Source organism: Homo sapiens, chromosome 3 (assembly GCF_000001405.40).
Source record: "Homo sapiens chromosome 3, GRCh38.p14 Primary Assembly".
Lineage (NCBI taxonomy): Eukaryota > Metazoa > Chordata > Mammalia > Primates > Hominidae > Homo > Homo sapiens.
The window spans coordinates 32,605,318-32,621,914 of record NC_000003.12 but is presented as its reverse complement, the minus strand read 5'-3'; the positions used below and the strand labels follow the sequence as shown (position 1 = coordinate 32,621,914).

Here is a 16,597-nt window from a genome sequence, read left to right as displayed (position 1 = left end):
CCTCCCTCCCCAAGATGGCTGCTGAAGATGAGTTACTGTTGCCGCGGCTCCCCATGCTGCTCGAAACAGGCAAACAGCTTCTGGACGAAGTAGAATTAGCAGCTGAAACCACCGGTTACCAGATAGTCCAGGAGAAGGTGTTCAAGGGCCTGGGCCTCCTTGAGAAGGTTCCCGAAATGTTATCGCAGCTCGACTTGTTCAATTGAAATGAAGATTTGGAAGAGATTGCTTTCACCGAGCTGAAGTACCTGTTGGTGCCAGCACTTCAAGGAGCCCTCACCATGAAACAAGTCAACCCTAGCAAGCGTCTTGCAGCGGGCTCGAGAACATTTTATAAACTACTTAACTCAGTGCCATTACTATCACATTGCAAAGTTTGAGCTGCTCAAAACCAAGAACAACTCAGCTGAAAATCACACTGCTAATTCCTCCATGGCTTATCCTAGTCTCGTTGCTATGGCATCTCAAAGGCAGGCTAAAATAGAGAGATACAAGCAGAAGAAGGAGTTGGACCATAGGTTGTCTGCAATGAAATCTGCTGTGGAAAGTGGTCAAGCAGATGATGAGCATGTTCGTGAATATTATCTTCTTCACCTTCAAAGGGGGATTGATACCAGCTTAGAAGAGATTGAGAGCATTGACCAGGAAATAAAGATCCTGAGAGAGACTCTTGAAGACAGTCATTAGCTTCTAACTCATCTCTCCAGGAGAGGCCTCCAGTGAAATCCTTCATTCTCACGCGGAACACAGCCCAAGCCAAATTATTTGGAGCTAGTTATCCAAGTCTGGCAACTATGACAGTGAGTGACTGGTATGAACAACATCGGAAATATGGAGCATTGCCAGATCAGGGAATAGCCACTGCAACACCAGAGAAATTCAGAAAAGCAGCTCAGCAACAGAAGTATCAAGAAGTGAAGGAGGGAGAGGATGATGAACACTCTACAGAGTTCGGGAGTGGGATAACTGGAAGGACACCCATCCTGGGGGCTATGGCAACCGACAGAACATGGGCTGATCTTCCCCCAACACGACAGGACTGCAGGGTGCACACCTCCCCCACCAAGGAAAACCATGCAGTGTTCCCCTCCCTGGGCTCCCGCTTCAGCTGTGTACAACGAAGGCAAAGATGCTAAATATTGCTTTGCATTCAATGAAGTGTCAAGTGATTAAGTAAGTGCGTATTTGTACCCTAGATGATGTGAGCCAGCAATCTTGTTTTGGCATCATCATTCTCATCATGCTGTATTCCAATTTCTTAAATGGAGAGAAAAGAGCGCTGAGAAATGGCTCTGTTTAATCAATGGCTGTCTGAATTCTCTGAAAAAATAATAAAAGTCCCTTCTATTAAAAAAAAAGAAAATACAGTGATAGATTTTGATATGCATTTTATGGCCTAATATACGTTCTGTCCTAGAGAGTGGCCTATATATACTTGAGAAAAATGTGTATTCTGTTGTTGTTGGGTGGAGTGTTCTATAGATGTCTATTAGACCTAGTTGGTTTATAGTATTATTTAAGCATTCTGTTTTCTTGTTGATCTTCTGTCTAGTTGTTTTATCCATTACTGAATGTGAGGTATTGAAGTCTCCAACTCTTATTGTTGAATTGTCTATTTTTCCTTTAATTCTGTCAGTTTTTGTTTCATTTACTTTTTGGCTCTGTTATTAGGTTAATATATGTTTATAACTGTTACACTTTCTTGAGGACTGACTCTTTTATCATTAGAAAATGGCCTCTGTCTCTAGTAACAATTTTTTGTCTTAAGTCCATTTTGTCTTATATTAATACAGCCATTTTAGCTCTCTTTTAGTTACTCTTTGCATGGTATATCTTTTCCCATTCTTTTGCTTTTAAGCTCTTTATATCTTGAACCTAAAATGTGTCTCTTGTAGAATGAAATAATGGCATTTGCAGCAACCTGGATGGAATTGGAGACCATTATTCTAAGTGAAGTAAGTCAGGAATGGAAAACCAAACACATATGTTCTCACTCATAAGTGGTAGCTAAGCTATGAGGATGCAAAGGCATAGGAATGATACAATAGACGTTGGGAACTTGGGAGAAAGGGGGTTAGGGGGTGAGGGATAAAAGACTACATGTTGGGTACAGTGTACACTGCTCAGGTGATGGGTGCACCAAAATCTCAGAAATCACCACTAAAGAACTTATTCATGTAACCAAACACTGCCTGTTCCCAAAAAAACCTATTGAAATAAAATAATAATAATAACAATAACAATAATAATAAAAATAAAGTGTGTCACTTGTAAACACAATATAGTTGGATCATGTTTTTCATCAATTTTGCCAATCTCTGCCTTTAATTGGAGTGTTTAAACCATTTACACTTAGTGTAATTATGAATAAGAGGCTTTATAATTGCCATTTTCCTATTTTTTCCTATATTGTTAAATGTGTTTTACTGTACCATTTTTATTCCCTTCTAATTTATTTTAGGATTCTTTGAGTTATTTTGTGATTGCCTTAGAGATTACAATTAACATCTAAACTTAAAACAATTTAGTTTGTATTAATACCAGATTAATTTCAATAGTATAGACAAACTTTTTCCCTATATGGCTCATTCCTTCCCTCCCCCTTTGTTCTATTATTGACATAAAAATTATATCTTTATACATTATATACCCATTGACATAGATTTGTAAGTATTGTTTTATGCAGTTATCTTTTAAATAAGATAGGAGAAAAGGAACATTTCAAACAAAAATTACCTTTATACTGTTTTTTGTATTTACTTATGTAGTTACCATTACCAGTGGTATTTCTTTATTTCTTCATGTGGGGAGAGAATCTGTAAACAGGGCTAGTTAAGATGTCACAAAGCTCACTTTTTTTTTTTAACCACGATTCAGCCAATTTCTTCAAGAAATGCTTTTTGGATTGTTGCAAGCCTTTGATTAATATCCAGTATTCTGAAAAAGTTGATTTTGACTATTTTTGTCAGTGTTTTTATTACTGTTATGGAGGAGTAGATTTTTGGAGATCCTTATTCTGTTGTTCCCACTCCAGTGCCCACCTAAATGTTCTATATTTCCCTTTTTTCTGGCAGCTATGTGGCTGTGTGACTGAGTTTGGTCAATTAGTTATAAAATATATTGTATGGCAGCTTCTTGGAAAACCACCTTATCACAGATGTGGTGACTCACACCTGTAATCTCAGCACTTTGGGAGGCTAAACTGGGAGGATCACGTGAGTCCAGGAGTTTAAGATCAGCCTGGGAAACATAGCTAGACTCTATTTCTATTATTTATTTATTTACTTATTTATTTAGAGACAAGGTCTCAGTCTGTCACCCAGGCTGACGTGCACTTTTGTGATCACAGCTCCCTATAGCCTCCTGGGCTCAAGCAATCCCCCAATCTCAGCCTCTCAAGTAGCTGGGACCACAGGTGTGCTTTGCCAGGCCCAGCTAATTTTTAAATTTTTTGTAGACAGGTTCACACTATGTTGTCCAGGCTGGTCTTAAAATCCCAGGCTCAAGTGATCCTCCTGCTTTGGCCTCCTAAAGTGCTGAGATTACAGGCATGAGCCACTGTACCCAGCCTACATATTTTTTAAAATTAAAGAAAAAAGTAAAAAAGAAAACCACTTTAAAAGGACATGTTCTTTGTACCTTGCTTGCCTCTTTTCACCAATCTGCTACTTGGAATGTGAATGTAATGACTTCATCATGTAATGACTGATTAAAGAAGTGTAAAGCACTTCTTTAATCAGTTTTTGAGAATAAGAATTTTAAGCCTCTCCCTGGAGCTTTCTACTTAGAATACTGAATTGCTCATGTTCTCTTTTCCCAGTATTTTATTTTTTATTTTTTTGAGATGGAGTCTCACTGTCTTGCCCCAGGTGGAGTGCAGATATCTTAGACCATGAGGATGGGGGTTATACCTTAAGAATGATGGAGTGAAGATCTGGAAGTTGATGGATTATGATGGATTTGGAACCACTGTACAAGCACTAGATAGCCAGTGGCCAGACATTTTATATTAGAGAAATATCCTTTATTTGATGTTATTTTGGATATTTTTTCTGGGTAATTGTAGCTGAAATTAATTTTGACTCATACAATAGCTATTACTGGACTTTAGGAGTATTCATGATTTTTATCTATTTCTCTTCTTTTTCTTTTCTTTCTTTTTTTTTTTTTTTTCAGTCTTGCTCATGTAGCCCAGGCTGGAGTGCAACGGCGCGACCTCGGCTCACTGCCACCTCCACCTCCCAGGTTCAAGCAATTCTCCTGCCTCCATCTCCCGAGTAGCTGGGATTACAGGTGCCTGCCATCACACCTGGCTAATCTTTTTTGCATTTTTAGTAGAGACAGGGGTTTCACCATGTCGGCCAGGCTGGTCTCGAACTCCTGACCTCAGGTGATCCACCCGCCTCAGCCTCCCAAAGTGCTAGGATTACAGGTGTGAGCCACCGTGCCCAGCCAGTTTTTATCTATTGCTTTATATTTTTTGTATTACCTAGTTTTCCCATAATTAGTATCTATTACTTTTTTTAGTCAGAACAAAAAGTATTTCCATGTAAATAAATGCATATGATAATATTAATGTATATACAAAAACATACATGTATGTATTTAGTATATAAAATATATATAGATGCATGTATAATATATGTCATATTGGTATATGTATTTATATATTTATTCACACAAAAATACACACACATACATATATTTCCATCGTTTTATGTTTTAGAAGATTGAAAACTGCCTTCTATTAGTTGGTCATATATCAGACGGATGCATTTCCAAAATAACTGGAACACAGTCACAGCAATCAAGCAAATCAAGAATTCAATCTGAAAACTTTGTTTCAGTTGCTATGATGGGGAGAGACAAAGATAAACCAGAGCTGATGGTAGAAATCACAGTGTTTGGGAGATGAGATGAATGGAGATTTGGGAAAGGCATGCTATTGAAATAAGAAACATTGACACAAGTCAGTAAAGCAACATCTGCAAACCTTCCCCTCTACCTTTTCTGGAGGGACACAACCCACACAGATCCAGGGACTCTAATGTTATTTCAGTGTTCCTGTAATATTTACAATAGTGCCTTTAGTAGTTTTCTCTGACTACTACATGATTACAACCAGGTAAGCCAGTTCTGCAACCAAAACCATTTGGGAGGAGGCAGCCTGGAGATATCTTGGAAAAGAAATAAATATGACTCATTTATAAAAGCTAGGTGACTGCCATACTTGGCTCTGGGTAAAATATAAGAGAATATGGTTTAGGTAAGATTAAAAACAAAAGATCAGAATAAGCACTTCTTTAATCAGTTTTTGAGAATAAGAATTTTAAGCCTCTGCCTGGAGCTTTCTACTTAGAATACTGAATTGCTCATGTTCTCTTTTCCCAGTATTTTATTTATTTATTTTTTTGAGATGGAGTCTCACTGTCTTGCCCCAGGTGGAGTGCAGTGACGAAATCTCCGCTTACTGCAAGCTCCGCCTCCCAGGTTCACGAAATTCTCTTGCCTCAGCTTCCGAGTAGCTGGGACTCCAGGCGCCCGCCACCACACCCGGCTAATTTTTAGTATTTTTAGTAGAGACGGGGTTTCACCGTGTTAACCAGGATGGTCTCGATCTCGTGATCCTCCCGCCTCGGGCTCCCAAAGTGCTGGTATTACAGGCGTGAGCCACCGCACCGGGCCCCAGTATTTTATTTTTATTAGCTATATATGCATACATTTTAAAAAACAAAATATTAAAAAGTTCAAAATCACCTCTCCTTTGTTCTCCAGACCTACACTCTAGAAGCAACTACATTCAATACTCTTATTTGTTTATTCTTTTATTGGTTGCATATTTCTAAATAATATGCTTATTGTGTTAATTTCTGATTGATCAAATTTAGACATTGTTTATAGCTTTCTGAATCAGTCAGCTTCAAGTCAGAAAACTAAAACCCTTAGCAAATTTAGTAGAGAAAATTTAATACAGTTATAAAGGGGTTGGAACTTCAGTTCTTTTCTTTTCTTTTCTCTTCTTTTTTTTTTTTTTTTTTTTTGAGACAGAGTCTTACTCTGTCGCCCAGGCTGGAGTGCAGTGGCACGAGCTCGGCTCACTGCAACCTCTGCCTCCCAGGTTCAGGCGATTCTCCTGCATCAGCCTCCTGAGCAGGTGGGATTATAAGTGCACGCCACCACGCCCGGCTAATTTTTGTATTTTTAGTAGAGATGGGTTACATCTCAACATGGTCACCATGTTGGCCAGGCTGGTCTCAAACTCCTGGCTCAAGTGATCCATCCACCTCGGCCACCCAAAGTGCTGGGATTACAGGTGTGAGCCACTGCGCCCGGCCCAGCCTTTAGTTCTTAATTAGGGGTGATTTTGCCCCCTAGGGAACATTTGGCAATTTCTGGAGACATTTTTGTTGTCACAGCTGGGTGGTGACTACTGGTATCTAGTGGATGGAGTCTCTCAAGGAATGCTGCAACTCATTTTATAATACACAGGACAATCCCCCAAAACAAAGAGCCATCCAGACCAAAATGTCAATAGTGTTGAGGTTGAGAACCCTGGCTTAGAAAACCTGGAAGGATAATTAGGGGAAGTGGAGGTACCCTTAACTTAAGCAGCTGCAGGAAACAATCATTATTATCTCCAGAGCCAGAGGGGCTCTATCTAAGGCAGAAAGAGTGGGAAGGAGAAATATCCTGGTGTCTCCTTCACTGCCATCCTCCAATCCCTGGCTACCACTTCCTGTTGGCTGAACTCAGCCAAAACAGTCATCGAGATCTTGGAAGCATAGTTTACAGAAGTAGCCTGTGCAATATGAGCCTGGGAAGGGGAAAGGCAGGAAATGAATTTAAGAACAAATAAGCAAATACCCAGCATATCCTCCCATTATGGATGACGAGGATCAAATTCTATTCAATGGCTTTCCCTTTATGTATATATTTTATATTAATCATAATATAATGAGTAATGTTGCTTATTTATGTGGTAAGTGTTGTTAATTGTAGTTACATTTTCTTTCTTGTACAACTTTTTGGTTTTTTTCTAGAGTTAACAACCTTTTGTTTGTTTTATTTTCTGTGCCTGTATCACTAATTATTCCCAAATTGCCCATTAGGTCTATAAGAGTTTTTCAATATTTTTTTTCTGGTTCATTTCTTCAAATGCATTAGAAAGTATATTAGTTTAATTTTTTTCGGTGCCCTCCTTCCTAGAACCCTCTCTCCTTTAGCCATTGTTCATTGAAAATGTCCGTAAGTTTCCACATCTTTTTTTGTTTAACCCATTTATAATTTAGGAAAAAAAAAAGTGCAGCTTGCTGCCAGTGCAGGGTTCTTGGGGCAAATGAGAAATGGTTAAAGAAAATTTACCTCTTTATACTCTCTATTGGCATTTCTTTGTTAATCACATCATTTTCCACAATGAAACAGCCGCACAATAAATAATCCATCTCTTTCCTTTATTCTGTCCCAGAATTAGTGGTAGTCCCAGGGTCCTATGGTAATCATGGGATGTGGCAGTTCATAGACGGGAAGTCTGGACTTAGCAAATTAAATTCAGGTACCTTGCCTTTATTATTATAATTGTAGTCAATAATGTCAGTGCACCACCCTCATCCCCTTTACTGTGGTGGCATCCCCAGCCCCAGCTACTATAAGCATTGCCTGCTAATGGCACAAACGTACACTTCTCTCTAGAAATGCTTGGGAGGTTATATTTTCTATCAGGACATCATGCACCCAATGACTGACTGATATGGGGGCAGGGAGATAAACAAATGTTGAGCCCTTTCCTTAAAGACGACGACTCTGTGATGTAATTCACACCGTCCATGGGATCAGGCTGAAATTAGACTTCAGCTGAAACCCTATCATTGTTTCACCTCTGCCCCTGCTCTATCCTTTACCTTCTTACAGATTTCTACTGAAAGTACATCTTCAATATGTCTCTAGTACAAGAATCCCTGCCTCGGTTTCTTCTTCTGGGAACTCAACTTAGACAGTGATGAACATTTGATATTTTTGGCCTTCATTCCCTCTTCCTAATAGAACCAGAGTTTCTTTTTTCTTTTTTTAGGCAGAGTCTTGCTCTGTTGCCAGGCTAGAGTTCAATGACGCAATCTCGGCTTACTGCAACCTCTGCCTCCTGGGTTCAAGCGATTCTTCTGCCTCAGCCTCCCGAGTAACTGGGACTACAGGTGCGTGCCACCATGCCCGGCCAATTTTTTGTATTTTTTTAGTAGAGATGGGGTTTCACCATGTTGGCCAGTATGGTTTCGATCTCCTGACCTCGTGGTCTGCCCACCTCGGCCTCCCAAAGTGCTGGGATTACAGGCGTGAGCCACCGCACCTGGCCCCAGAATTTCTTTTTTGGGAAATCTGCTTCCTTTCCCTCTTTGTGGACAGTCTTGTTGTGACTGTAAATCTAGATACTCGCCCTTCCATCTAGAAGCTGAAGGAGTTACTGCGTGTTCCTTCCACAGGACTCTTCCTCTTATTGCCCTAGTACAGCAGGCCCAGACACGTAATCTCAACTCAGCCAATTCAACACTCTCTCCTGGGATTATGAGTTTTGAGTGAGTAATACAAAGACAGAATAGACTGTTGAAATTGACTTATCTCAGCACAGGTTTCTTCTGGACCCTTCTGTGGTTCTTGCCCATTTCCAAGTTATTTGGAGGGCCTTTTGTGAGTGTCCCAAATCTTTTGGTAAATTCTCTTTTGTGTAAGTTCTCTCAACTTGAGTTCTCTTGCTTATAATAAAAAGAATCATAAATAATGCAGTTATCTAACTTTTTTTGGTCTATACACAGAATGAAAAAATCTGGAACCAGATCACTAATTCAGGAGATGGGAGACTCAGGGCTTCTAATCTTGAAAAGGAAAAGCCTACCTGGATAGCCCTCCTTGCTTCAATGAAGAGGTAGGAGTTTGCAAAGCTCCTCTCACCTGGTTAAATTATACTTTGATCTTTTGTGAGATGCTGAACCAGATTTTTCTCTTAGAAAGCTGGTGTCTGGCTTTTGGTCTCAAAACATACAACTCCATCTGAAACCTCCTCTCAGCTGGGATTTTTTCTTTTCTCATATGTTCACACACCAGCCCTGAAAATAGAGCGATTCAACTGCATGCAGACAGCTGCACTTACTAATAAAAATATCTTCTGAAAGAAAATAGTCTTTTTTCTGAGTGGAATTTTACTCCAGAAATTGTTCAGTTTTGGATTGCAGGGAAGGAAATGAGCTCAACACAAAAACCAAAATAGACACACATGATTGCAGAGGATCTAAAGACAATCTCCTGGTTTGAGTTGCCAGGCAACTGTCTCTCCAAAGATGCTGTCATTTTAATTTTATGGAATAATTAGGTACCCAAATTTCTGATTCAAGATGTCTTGGGATAATAATGAATTCATCTTTTATGATTTTTTAAAAGTATAAGCAGAAACCTCTTTCTTGCTTGGAGTACATGTTTTACTGTTGGTTTGTTCTTCCTTGCCCCACAGTATCTTTGCTGTGTCTCTTCAAAACAAGTAAGTTTTCATTTCTTTGGGATGTTCTTGCTGGATCCTGCTGAGAATGGGGATGGATGAAAGAACGCTTAGGGTGTTGATTTCTAGCAGCTTCAGATTCTGATCCTATGGTTATTAAGATGTTTTATCCACAGGGAGCGAAAGAAAAATATTCCACATAAACATCAATATTCCACTTAAAACACCAATCATGGGAAACTCGGCCTTATGATTAGAAACAAGGTCACTGCACTTAAGTAAACAAAATATTAGGCCAGGCGCGGTGGCTCATGCCTGTAATCCCAGCACTTTGGGAGGCAGAGGCAGGCAGATCACTTGAAGTCAGGGGTTCAAAACCAGCCTGGCAAACATGGCGAAACCCCATCTCTACTAAAACTACAAAAATTAGCCAGGAGTGGTGGTGCTCACTTGTAATCCCAGCTAATCTGGAGGCTGAGGCAGGAGAATCACTTGAACCTGGGAAATAGAGGTTGCAGTGAGTGAGATTGCACCACTGCACTCCAGCCTGGGTGACAAAGCAAAACTCCATCTCAAAAAAAAAAAAAAAAAAGAAAAAAGAAAACAAAAGAAAATTAAAACAAAACAAAACATTTTCTTTTCTTTTTTCTTTTTCTTTTTTTTTTTTTTGAGATGGAGTCTTACTCTGTCGGCCAGGCTGGAGTGCAGTGGCGCAATCCAGGCTCACTGCAACCTCCGCCTCCCAGGTTCAAGCAATTCTCTTGCCTCAGCCTCCCGAGTAACTGGGATTACAGGCACCCGCCACTGTGCCCAGCTAATTTTTGTATTTTTAGAAGAGACAGGGTTTTGCCATGTTGGCCAGGCTGGTCTCAAACTCCTGATCTCAAGTAATCCAACTGTCTCAGGCTCCCAAAATGCTGTGATTACAAGTGTGAGCCACCGCACCCGGCCCTGAACAAATAGCTTTCTAATTGGCCTTCACATACCCACCCTAAAGCCCTCCGGCTAACTTTCCATATTGAGGTCATCTGATCTTAGCACTCTCCTGCCTCAAAAGTTTCACTAGCTTTGATTTTTATCTGTGAGGGTTCGTTTGCAGACAACTTACCTATGACTCTTCCCAGCAAAAAGGAGTTTGATACAGGGAATTAAGTGCTTATGAAACTGTTGGGAGAACTAAGGGGAGTGGGTTCCAGATTGGGTCCCCAGGAATGACTTTCAGAATACAATAGAACTGGACTATTAAGGGAGCTGTTATCTTCATCCCAAATGGAGAAATGGGGAGCTGCCACTGGAACTGTGGGCTCCACAGCACATGATCTTATCCAGGGATGAGGGCATTGCTACTGCTATACTTGTTGGCTCCAGAGTAATGCTGCCTCTCCTAGATCTGCAATGGCCAAATGAATAAATAAATTTAAAACACCCCCACATGTTCTTAGAAAGAAATTGGACCCCTTGACCCCAGAGCACTTCCTAACTATGCTCTGGACCATGCTCACCAGCAGAAACTGCAGAAACAGTGAAGCATGGACTTGCCTCATCTCCACCTTCTAGGCCTCATGTGAGTGAATCTGATTGGCTGAATCTAGATGCCTCCAGTGCCCTAGTTGCAAGGTGTTTGTGAATGTAGTTTTTAGCTTTCCAGCCTCTGCAGTCACACCAAAGGGTAGAATAGATGGGCACCAATCTGTCACACTCTTGCTCTTAGGATGGAAACCATTCTTCATATGGTTTGTAACGCTTTTTATGGTCTAGCCTCTATCTCCCTCTTGGCCTTATCTTTCCCATGCTCCCTTTGTGCTGTTCACTCTCTGCCTGTCAGTCTTTCATATGAGCCATCCTCCCACTACAGGGCTTTGCACATGCTGTTTTTCTTCCTGAAATACTCTCCATCTCCACCTGGTCCTCTTGACCTAGTTAATTCCTATCTCCCCTTTCAACTCAAGTGTCACTTCATTCTGGAAACCTTTGCAGCCTTCCCATCTCCTGGCCACGTACCCCAGCTACAGGCTCTCATGGCACCTAATAGCTTTCCTTGGTAGGCACTTGCCACAATTGCAATGTTGTAATTGTCTAATCATTTCATTAATAATGGGCTCCTCTACAAGGGTATAGGTTCCAAGAGGTTAGGGACCTCATCTGATCCTGATCCCCATATTTTAGAAGTATAGAGAAGAAACTTAAGTCCCTTTAGGGGGAAAAACTGGAGGTGAAGGGGAAGGAAGGCTCTTATGCTTCATTTTATTTCTTTCTGAACTTTTTAATGATTCATGTACATGTATTTTAACCTTAAAATGTGTAATAGAGGCCGGGCACAGTGGCTTAACGCCTGTAGTCCCAGCACTTTGGGAGGCCAAAGTGGGTGGATCACCTGAGGTCAAGAATTCAAGACCAGCCTGGCCAACATAGTGAAACTCCTTCTCCACTAAAAATACAAAAATTAGTGTGGTGTGGTGGCGCATGCCTGTAGTCCCAGCTACTCAGGAGGCTGAGGCATGAGAATCGCTTGAATCCGGGAAGCAGAGGTCGCAGTGAGCTGAGATTGCGCCACTGCACTCCAGCCTGGGCACAGAGTGAGACTCGGTCTCAAAAAAACAAAAAAGTGTGTAATAGAATTGGGGTGGGAGGAGTATTTTCCCAGAGTGATTCGATTTCAGGACCAGAATTAGGGACTTTGAAATCTTCAGAAGTTGAATTTCAAAAACCTATTAATTTCTAGTTTACTTATTGGAATTGCCTTTTAAAAAAGTCTAGAATAGGTATAATTTTCATGGAAATCCTCCTCAATAAAACAAACTTTTCTAGGGATAAGATTCTTCAAAAAAGAAGGCATCCCAGTTAGAGAAAAATGTTAAAGGATGCCACCCCCAGTCATGGACCCACGAAACTCAAATTCTGCTAGTATAACAACAAAAACAGCCTTCCACATAAAGTGCTACTGTTATTTTTCTCTTTACTATGCTTTCTAATTACTCTGTAATAAACACACTAAAAATCATAAAAGTTAAAGTAAAAAAGAATTAATTTAATTACAACTATTCTAACATTTTTCTCTATTGAACCCTTTGAAAAACAGTTCACATAGATACTAGTACATGAAGGATGGCTCCGAAAGGCAATAATGAAACTGCATCATTTACATAATAATCTCGCAAGTAGAAGCATGTGTTTTACTGCGTTCTGGTGCTACCAGTTATGTTAAATTACAATTCCAAGGAACAGCAGGGAAGGATTTAGAACTTACACTCAATAATGGGGTTGAAATGTGAACACTTCCTTTCATGAAAAGGAATTATTACTGGCAAAGCACCCCTCTGGCCTAAGACCAGTAGCTTTGGTTAGAGGCAGCAAAATAAAAGGACCTGAGAACACCCCAGCATACCCAGAGTTGTACTCTAAATGCCAAGAGCTATGAGAGAGGAAAATCCCTAGACTGTTCTAGAACCAAGGATTTTGTTGAATCTTGACGTTAGGAGAAAACTTGGGGGTCATCATTCTAGTCTAAACTCTGTCCCAGTTCAGAAACTTCTTCCTAACATCCTAGCCAGATACTTGTTTAGTACTAGTGTAAACACTTAAAACTTAAAGAAAACAAGTTAAATGATTAGACATTAGCAATTAACACTTAAACCTTTTAACAAGTTAATACCAAGGGATCATTAAAAATAAGAAGTTGAAGGACCACCTGGGAGCATTCAATCGAGAGTAAGGGCCTCCAAGAATCCAGTGAAAGTATTTCTTCTCTTTCTTCTCCTATTGTGTTAAATTTCATCAACATTGCTTGAGTATGTGGTCTCTGGAGGAAAAACAAATTTATACTCCTCTTGCTTTTGTTTATATTTTTTCTTCATCAAAATTTCCTCCCAATTAACCTATCTCACGACCTATCTTTGTTTCTTAAATGTAAAACATTTTATATACTAATTAGTGCTAAATTGCTTTAAGGCTTAAAAAAAACAACCTTGGTGGCTCATGCCTGTAATCCCAGCACTTTGGGAGGCCGAGGCGGGCGGATCACCTGAGGTCAGGAGTTTGAGACCAGCCTGACCAACATGGAGAAACCCCGTCTCTACTAGAAATACAAAATTAGCTGGGCGTGGTGGCGCATGCCTATAATCCCAGCTACTCGGGAGCCTGAGGCAGGAGAATCGCTTGAACCCGGGAGGTGGAGGTTGTGGTGAGCCGAGTTCACGCTATTGCACTCCAGCCTGGGCTACAAGAGCGAAACTCCGTCTCAAATAACAAACAAACAAACAGCAAGAACAAAAAACCCTTAATTTGAATTCAGGAGGTCTCTGAAATGCAAATCAGGTTGGTTAACACACTTTCGCAGCTAGCGAAGTAAACCATTTGGGCACCATCTTTGATTTCCCAAGTCACACTATTCAGCCTTGCTCCATTAACTTCCTTTCTTTCTTGACAACTCTATACTCTATACCTCCCATTGCCCAATTTTGTTCTCTTAATTTAGAAATCGTAGCAATTGCAGTTTAGGAATTTTGCTAAATTTTGCTTCATTTTGCTAAATGAAGAGACGATGACTGTGCTCAAGATCTAGTCTTTTTAAAACTGCTGTAATAAACCAGTCCTATAAGTAAGGAGAAAGAAATTTGGAGATATGTTAATGAATTAATCATACATGCTGTTGCTACAACTCTTCCCAAGCATCTTGAGAGAGAAAGCCAAAGAAATCAGGTTGTTGTTGTCATCACAGACAATTAGGCCAGCAGAAGGATGTTCTCAGGCACAAAACAACTGCTTTTGCTGGTGGCAGCTTCTGTTGAATCATCAGTAAAATTTAAATAACATGTCGGAGTAAATGGCAAGAGTCAAAACAGGAGAAACCCAGAGAAATAAGTTGGTCCTATCTTCTGCTTATCAGCAGAACAGTCCATAGTTATTTTAAAGTAATTTGAAAGTTCAGACAAACAGAGTAAGTCCTTTAAAGGATTTACAGGTATGGCAGCTTAGGTAGGAAGTCTGGGAATGTCAGAAGCTTAGGAATAAAACACATGGAGGCAAAGAAAATGCTTTTGTGAGTTAAGGAGAAAAAAATGGACTTGAACTCACAAGAACTGTGAAATGTTCTCATTTTTTGCCATTTGAGAAGGATCTGTGACAAGGATGTCTGTTACTAAGGGTGTCACTTAATAATGGAAAACAAAGTCTATGAAAAACACTTAAACATGTGAGGGTGTAACAGCTAATGAGAAGGAGGCCTTCTCTTCCCGCTTCCAAAGCATGACTTCATTTTGCCCTAGGGTGGCTGAAGTGTACCCATCAAAGCAGAAATCCATCTGAACTTGGGAGCACACCCACTAACACTGCTGTTAATTAACTCTCGACCTGTGAAAACAAAGCCACATCCTCACTCTGAATATGGAAAAGCTGAAGACAGTGAGTGCTTGCTTAGGTTTCTGGATTCCATCCTTGCAATAGCAAGACGTGGTACCATTTGTGGAGGCCCACTATGTGCCAGGCATTGCTAGGCCATCATACTCACTGTGGCACAACATCCCCTGAACAATTCAGAGAGATTGATGTTATCCCCGCCCCATTTTTTACATGAGGGAACTGACTCTCAGCTCAAATGACTTGCCCAAGACCACAAGGAGTAGAAAGCAGACTAGAAGACAGCCTCAGCCTTGTCTGACTCAAAATCCCAAGCTCTTTGCTGCTAAGAGATGTCTGGAAAAATGGAGAGTTGTTTGCTGCTTCTCAGAGCTGCAGAAAGATGTCCATAGCCCATCCCTCCCCTTCCTTACTACTTAGTAGCATTTCCTTGCTAAGTGTGTGTGTGTATGTGTGTGTATACACACACAGCAGTATACAGCAGGTCCTTGAATAATAGCGGTTCTTTCTTTCCTTTCTTCTTTCTCTTTCTTTTCTTTATTTCTCTTTTTCTTTCTTTCTCTTTCCCTTCTTCCTCCTTTCCTTCCTTCCCTTCCTTCCTTCCTTCCTTCCTTCCTTCCTTCCTTCCTTCCTCCTTCCTTCCTTCCTCCCTCCCCTCCCCTCCTCTCTCCTCTTCATTTTTTTCTTTTGAGATGGAGGCTGGAGTGCAGTGGCAAGATCTCAGCCTCCTGCATTTAAGCAATTCTCCTGCCTCAGCCTCCCGAATAGCTGGGACTGCAGGCGAGTGCCACCATGCCCAGCTCCTTTTTGTATTTTTAGTAGAGATAGGGTTTCACCATGTTGGCCAGGCTGGTCTCGAACTTCTGACCTCAAGTGATCCACCCGCCTCGACCTTCCAGAGTGCTAGGATTACAGGTGTGAGCCACTGTGTCTGGCCCTTTCCTTCTTTCTCCTTCCTTCTTTCTTTCCTTCCTTCCTTCCTTCCTTCCTCCCTTCCTTCCTTCCTTCCTCCCTTCCTTCTTTTTTCTTTTAACTAGGAATTAAATTATCAGTTTTATTGGTCAAGAATTCACAACATAATGACTAATTGTATGTTGACAATGCTGAACTTTACCAGAGTCTGTGATTCTGGAAAGAAGAGCCCTGACCCCCCGACCTCTGTATTATGGGAAATGGTTTGCTGCAAAGGGATGACCACTCTTTTGATTTTTTTTTTTTTTTTTTTTTTTCTGAGACGGAGTTTTGCTCTTGCTGCCCAGGCTGGAGTGCAATGGTGCGATCTCAGCTCACCGCAACCTCCGTCCCCCAGGTTCAAGCAATTCTCCTGCTTCAGCCTCCTGAGTAGCTGAGATTACAGGCATGTACCACCATGCCTGGCTAATTTTGTAGTTTTAGTAGAGATGGGGTTTCTTCATGTTGAGGCTGGTCTCGAACTACTGACCTCAGGTGATCTGCCCACCTCAGCCTCCCAAAGTGCTGGGATTACAGGTGTGAGCCACCGCGTCCAGCCCACTCTTGATTTATAAGACCTGGAGCAACCCACTTTATTTGATTTGGCTGCACTGTTTCCTACACATAGTTCATCCTAAATTCACCTGGTAATTGAGGTTGTCATTTGTGTTAGCTAATTGCCTTTATCCAAAGGAAAAATTAAACTTCTTATATCTCTTAAATATAGAGATATAGCAGGTAGTTTCAGCTTGGAAGCAAGTGCCTAGGCTGAGACAGGGAGATAGAAGGGTGCTATTGATGCAAGCAAGT

At 40.8% G+C, this 16,597-nt stretch overlaps 1 pseudogene, besides 1 other annotated feature; it reads left to right on the top strand.

Annotated features, from left to right (window-relative positions):
- IGBP1P3 (IGBP1 pseudogene 3) lies at positions 1-1,215 on the top strand (annotated as a pseudogene).
- Positions 11,192-11,392: a silencer, noted in NCBI's record as "peak4588 fragment used in MPRA reporter construct". NCBI's record gives its function as "represses an SCP1 promoter by STARR-seq MPRAs in K562 erythroleukemia cells {active_cell/tissue: K562}" and the evidence as "EXISTENCE:reporter gene assay evidence [ECO:0000049][PMID:32103011]".